This window comes from Homo sapiens, chromosome 3, assembly GCF_000001405.40.
Source record: "Homo sapiens chromosome 3, GRCh38.p14 Primary Assembly".
Lineage (NCBI taxonomy): Eukaryota > Metazoa > Chordata > Mammalia > Primates > Hominidae > Homo > Homo sapiens.
In genome coordinates, this window is record NC_000003.12 from 101,594,591 (window position 1) to 101,601,374 (window position 6,784).

At 40.8% G+C, this 6,784-nt stretch overlaps 1 pseudogene; it reads right to left on the bottom strand.

The window, feature by feature from the left end:
* RPL32P7 (ribosomal protein L32 pseudogene 7) lies at positions 4,603 to 5,104 on the bottom strand (annotated as a pseudogene).

Genomic DNA, 6,784 nt, shown 5'->3' on the forward strand with positions numbered 1-6,784 from the left:
CCTAGTTCTATAGCATTACAGAATCTCAGACTCAAAAAGACTTAATCCTCCTCCAGTGCCAAAGGATTGTCTGTCCAGTTCTTTAGAAAATCTTGCCAAAGCTTTTCTTTGACAATCACTAAATATTAGAAAGTATTCTTTTTTTTTTTTGAGACAGAGTCTCACTCTGTTGCCCAGGCTGGAGTGCAGTGGCACGATCTCGGCTCACTGCAACCTCTGCCTCCCGGGTTCAGGCAGTTCTCATGTCTCAGCCTCCCAAGTAGCTGGGACTACAGGTGCATGCCACCATGCCCAGCTAATTTTTGTATTTTTAGTAGAGACAGTGTTTCACCATATGGTCAGGCTAGTCTCGAACTCCTGACCTGAGGTGATCCACCTGCCTTAGCCTCCCAAAGTCCTGGGATTACAGGCATGAGCCACTGCGCCCAGCCTAGAAGGTATTCTTTCACTAGTGTCTTCTGTCCATTAACTGTACGTATGGATTTAGACCATAAAGAAAAACGTAATTTCACTTCTACCTAATGGCTTTCTTCAAATATTTAAAGTTTCTTTCTTTCTTTTTTTTTTTTGAGATGGAGTCTCGCTCTGTTGCCCAGGCTGGAGTGCAGTGGCGCGATCTTGGCTTACTGTAAGCTTTGCCTCTCGGGTTCACGCCATTCTCCTGCCTCAGCCTCCTGAGTAGCTGGGAATACAGGCGCCCGCCACCACGCCCGACTAATTTTTTTGTATTTTTAGTAGAGACAGAGTTTCATCATGTTAGCCAAGATCGTCTTGATCTCCTGACCTTGTGATCCGCCCGCCTTGGCCTCGCCTCCCAAAGTGCTGGGATTATAGGCGTGAGCCACCTTGACCGGCCTGAATTTTGTTTCTACCCTGCACTTCTGCCTCCCCCCTCACAGCTTAAATATCTCCACTTGATAATTTATTGATATTTTTAACTCAGTTTGCATTCTTTGTTTGCATACTATGTGTTGTCAACACATTGTAGTTGCCAAAACTTCATTTCTTTGGTTATCATGAATTTTAAGACCACATAGTTGTTTTCTTTCGTTTTTTATCACTTTGACTTTTGCTGACCATTTTGCTCCCATGTGGTTAGTGCAGCTTTTCCCTTTAGTTTCCTCTACTTGACAAGAACTTGTCAGGTATTTCCCTTTTAGAAATACGTTTTTTTTTCTTTTCTTTTTTCTTTCTTTCTTTTTTTTTTTTTTTTTTTTTTTGAGACAGAGTGAGTAGCTCTGTCACCCAGGCTGGAGAGCAGTGGTGCAATCTTGGCTCAGTGCAACCTCCATCTCCCAGCTCAAGCCATCCTCTAGCCTCAGCCTCCTGAGCAGCTGGGATTAGAGGCACATGCAGCCACACCTGGCTGATTTTGTGTTTTCTGTAGAGATAGGCTGTCGCCATGTTTCCCAGGCTTGTTTCAAACTCCTGGGCCCAAGTTGTCCACCCGCCTCAGTCTCCCAAAGTGCTGGGATTACAGGCGTGAGCCACCCATGCTTGGCTATAATGTATTTTCTTAACTTATACAGTGCTGCTGCTTAACAGGTCAGGTCCTAGTTAATGGAAAACTTGAACTACATTGTGGAATTAAGATTCGTTTCTAGTTTGACTAATAAATAAAGGCTATGCGTTTCAAGGTTTTTTCTCTTTTTTAAGTTTTTTGGTTTTTTTTAGAGATGGTGTCTTGTCAAGTTTTTTTCTTATATCAAGGTTGCTTGACACGAAGGGATGGCTCAAATTATGTTAGTGGCTAAGTAAAAATACTTTTTAATTTTTTTTAATTTTCATTTTGAAAAAACTTCAGACTTACAAAACATACTACAAAAATATTACAAAGTATGTTCATATACCCTTTACTCATGTTCCCCATATGTTCTTTTCCAAAACCTCAGGACAATTGTAGAAATCAATAAATTAACATAATTGCAATATTATCTGTTATACTACTTTATACTATTCTACAGACCTTCAGATTTGCCCCACTAATAGAACCCTAGTCCAAGATCTTCATTATCACTTTGTGGATTTTCATCTTTTTTTAGTCTCTTTTAATCTAGGACACTTCGATGTTTATTGTTCATGACCCTAGACGAAAGTACAGGCCAATTATTATTATTATTATTATTATTATTATTATTATTATTATTATTTTATTATTATTTTTGAGACAGAGTCTCGCTCTCACTCTGTTTCCCAGGCTGGAGTGCAATGGCGTGATCTCAGCTCACTGCAACCTCCGTCTCCCGGCTCCAAGCAATTCTCCTCCCTCAGCCCCCTGAGTAGCTGGGATTACAGGTGCGCACCACCACACCCGGCTAATTTTTGTATTTTTAGTACAGATGGGGGTTTCATCATATTGGTCAGGCTGGTCTCGAACTCCTGACCTCATGATCCACCTGCCTCAGCCTCCCAAATTGCTGGGATTACAGGCGTGAGCCACTGCGCCCGGCAGGCCAATTGTTTTTAAAAGATACCTCAAACGTTAGGTTTGCCTATGTTTCCATATAATTAAATTCAGTTTATGCATTTATGCAATACCTCAGTATTTCATTCCCGCTATAGGAATTCCATAACTAAATTATGGTTGATATGAAACTTTGAATAGGTCAGTAGAAACTACAAAATAACCCATGTAACCATGACTGAAAATAAAGTATTTTACCCAATGAGGAAAAAGATTATAACAAGAAGCTGAACAACTAAGTAATGCAAAGAAAGCGACATTCAGGGAATGCAAGTAATAGATATTGGAATATTTGCAAATGATTAAAGCAAATATAACAAGATTGAATTGGGAGTAAAAAGATGTGCATGTGTGGGGATAAAGGTTATGTGGGAATGCTGTACTTTCTGCTAAGTTTGGCTATGAACCTAAAATTACTCTTAAAAAGTTTACTAACAACAACAAAAGAGGTATGCCGGATGCTATGGCACACCTCTATAATCACAACACTTTGGGAGGTCAAGGTGGGAGGATCACTTGAGTTCAGAAGTTCAAGACCACTCAGGATAACGTAGTGAGACCTGATCTCTACAAAAAAAAAATAGCCCATTATAGTGGTGCACACCTGTAGTCTCAGCTACTTGGGAGGCTGAGGCAGGAGGATGGCTTGAGCCTGGGAAATTGAGGCTTCAGTGAGCCGTGATCACACCACTGCACTCCATCCTGGGTGACAGAGCAAGATCCTGTTTCAAAAAAAAAAAAAAAAAAGTGAATGTGCGAGCATGGTTTGACTTGGAAGATTCACAAGGTTCCTCTCTTCACCATGAATATAAGTAAGTAATAGTTGGATATAAAATCTCAAGATATTGGTAACATTAACATTACCATAATGCTCTGTGTGGATGTTAATGTAACCCTCATTTTATATGTAAGTATAATTTCCCCAACAGGATTTAAGTGTAGTCAATTATATTCTTGTGGGTCCACTTTGAGAAGAAAATGTCATTTTCCCAGGTAATTTTAAACACAGGTGTTTCTTCCATTTTATTCTTATTTGAATTTTATAGTAGCCATTAGCTATGTCATGCTCCAAGGAAGAGAATTGGGAATATTAAGTATTGATTTTTACCAGATGCCTTGCTTTCTCTGGTAGGGGTAATTTAAGAAGCAACTGCTATTCTGTATTAACTCTTAAGACAGGGCTGGTGGTACCACCATGATGAAATGGAGAATAATGGTAACAGCCATATCTTGGCCATATAAAAAGCTAGTTACTTTAATTCTTTTGCATGGCTTCTTTATTACAGACAGAGCCATTAGAAAATTGGGAAGCTTAAAGATGAAGGGCAGTTTTAAATACTAATCTGGAAGTAATATGTGTAAGACAGAAAGGAAAGTAGGGAAAGTATTTCTGATATGTTGTCGGATTCAGTTTGCTAGTGTTTTCTTGAGGATTTTTGCATCCTTATTCATAAAAGATACTGGTCTGTGCTTTTCTTATGATGACTTTGGTTTGGGTATCAGGGTAATACTGGCCTTATAAGGTGAGATGAGAAGTGTTCCCTCTTCTGTTTTTTGGAAGGGTTAATGAAGAATTGGAGTTATTTCTTTTTATACAAAAATTTTTAATTGAGGCAAACTATACATATATAATTTACCATCTTTACCATTATTAAGTGTACAGTTCAGTGGTAATACATTTATATTCTTGTTTTTCACCTTCATCCCCCACCTCCCCTTCTTCGCCTCTGATAATCAATCTACTCTCTATTCATGAGATCTATTTTTTTAGCTGCCACCTGTGAGTGAGAACATGTGATATTTGTCTCTGTGCGTGGCTTATTTCACTTAACGGCCTCCAGTTCCATCCATGTTGCTGAAATTGACAAGATTTCATTCTTTTTCATGGCCAAATGGTGTTCAATTGTGTAAATACATCACATTTTCTTTATCCATTCATCTGTTGATGGGCACTTAGGTTAATTTCATATTTTGGCTATTGTGAATAATGCTGAAATATACATGAGAGTGCAGATATCTCTTTGATATATTGATTTACTTTCATTTTGGTATATACCCAGTAGTGGAATGGCTGGACCACATGGTAATCCTGTTTTTAGGGGGTTTTTTTGTTTGTTTTTTGTTGTTTTTTTTTTTTACAGTTTTTATGGTTTTATTTAAACACAAAACGTGCACATAAGCTGTCTATTCACTTTCTGCGTTGTACAGCCTCGCATTGGGATTGGTGACTGATGGCCCGCTGGGCTCCTCTTTCCAGGATGGCTTTGCGGTTCTTGGAGGAAACATTGTGAGTGATAGCAGCACAGTAAGATTTGTTGCACATCAGCAGCACTTCCAGCTCCCTGACGTTGTAGATCAGGAACTTCCAGAAGCCACTGGGCAGCATGTGCTTTGTTTTTTTGCTGCTCTCATAACCAGTGTTGGGCATCAAGGTCTGGCCCTTGAACCTTCTATGAACCCTGTTGTTAGTACCTCCGGGTTTCCGCCAGTTATGATTAATTTTGACATATCAGTCTGAGTGCTGCTGGATGAACTTCTTGGTCCTCTTTCTGACGATCTTGGGCTTCATGAGGGGTCTGAGGGCAGCCATGATGCCAAGGAGATGGCTGCCACCTCTGTAGGCAACACGGAGGAAGAGAGTGCTATTTTTAGTTTTTTGTTGTTGTTGTTTGTTTGTTTTAGACGGAGTCTCGCTCTGTCACCCAAGCTGGAGTGCAGTGGCACAATCTCGGCTCACTACAAGCTCCGCCTCCTGGGTTCACGCCATTCTCCTGCCTCAGCCTCCCGAGTAGCTGGGACTACAGGCGCCCGCCACCACGCCTGGCCAATTTTTTGTATTTTTAGTAGAGATGGGGTTTCACTGTGTTAGCCAGGATGGTCTCGATCTCCTAACCTCGTGATCCGCCCGCCTCGGACTCCCAAAGTGCTGGTATTACAGGTGTGAGCCACCGCGACCAGCTATTTTTAGTTTTTAATTTTTTGGGGTTTTTTTTGTTTTGGTTTTGGTTTTAGGCAGTCTCTGTCGCCCATGCTGGAATGCATGTGTGTATATATATGTGTGTATATATATATGTGTGTATATATATGTGTGTATATATATATGTGTGTGTATATGTATATGTGTGTATATATATGTGTGTATATATGTGTGTATATATATGTGTGTGTATATATATGTGTGTATATATGTGTGTATATATGTGTATATATGTGTATGTATATGTGTGTGTGTATATGTGTGTATATATGTGTGTGTATATATGTGTGTGTATATATATGTGTGTGTATATATATATTTTTTTTTTGCGATGGAGTTTTGCTCTTGTTGCCCAGACTGAAGTACAATGGCACGATCTCAGCTCACTGCAACCTCTGCCTCCTGGGTTCAAGTGATTCTCCTGCCTCAGCCTCCCTAGTAGCTGGGATTACAAGTGCCTGCCACCACACCCAGCTAATTTTTTGTATTTTTAGTAGAGATGGGGTTTCATTATGTTGGCCAGGCTGGTCTCGAACTCCTGGCCTCAGGCAATCCACCCGCCTCAGCCTCCCAAAGTGCTAGGATTACAGGTGTGAGCCACCACTCCCAGCTTTCTTTTTAATTTTTTTTTAGTCTCAATTTCATTTATTTCTGCTCTGATCTTTATTATTTATTTCCACCTGCTAATTTGGGGCTTGGTTTGTTCTTGTTTTTCTACTTCCTTGAGGTACATTGTTAGGTTGTTTAGTCAGTCTTTCTACTATTTTTTTTTTGAAACAGAGTTTCACTCTTGTCACCCAAGCTGGAGTGCAATGGCGTGATTGTGGCTCAGGGCAACCTCCACCTCCCAGGTTCAAGTGATTCTCCTGCCTCAGCCTCCCAAATAGCTGAGATTGCAGGTGTACACCACCATGCCTGGCTAATTTTTGTATTTTTAGTAGAGATGGGGTTTCACCATGTTGGCCAGGTTGGTCTCGAACTCGTGACTTCAGGTGATCTGCCCCCACCCTTGGCCTCCCACAGTAAGGGATTACAGGCATGAGTCACTGTGCCTGGTCAGAAATGGAGTTTCACCATGTGGACCAGGCTGGTCTTGAACTCAAGTGATCCTTCCACCTCAGCTTGCCAAAGTGCTGGGATTACAGACATGAGCCATCTCACCTGGTTAGTGCAAGGAAGTCTTAACAGCATATGGGGCAACTCTTTCCTTTTTTGATATAGGTGTTTATTGCTATGAACTTCTCTCTTAGAACTGCTTTTGCAGGCCGGGCGCGGTGACTCACACCTGTAATCCCAGCATTTTGGGAAGCCGAGGCGGGTGGATTGCCTGAGGTCAGGAGTTT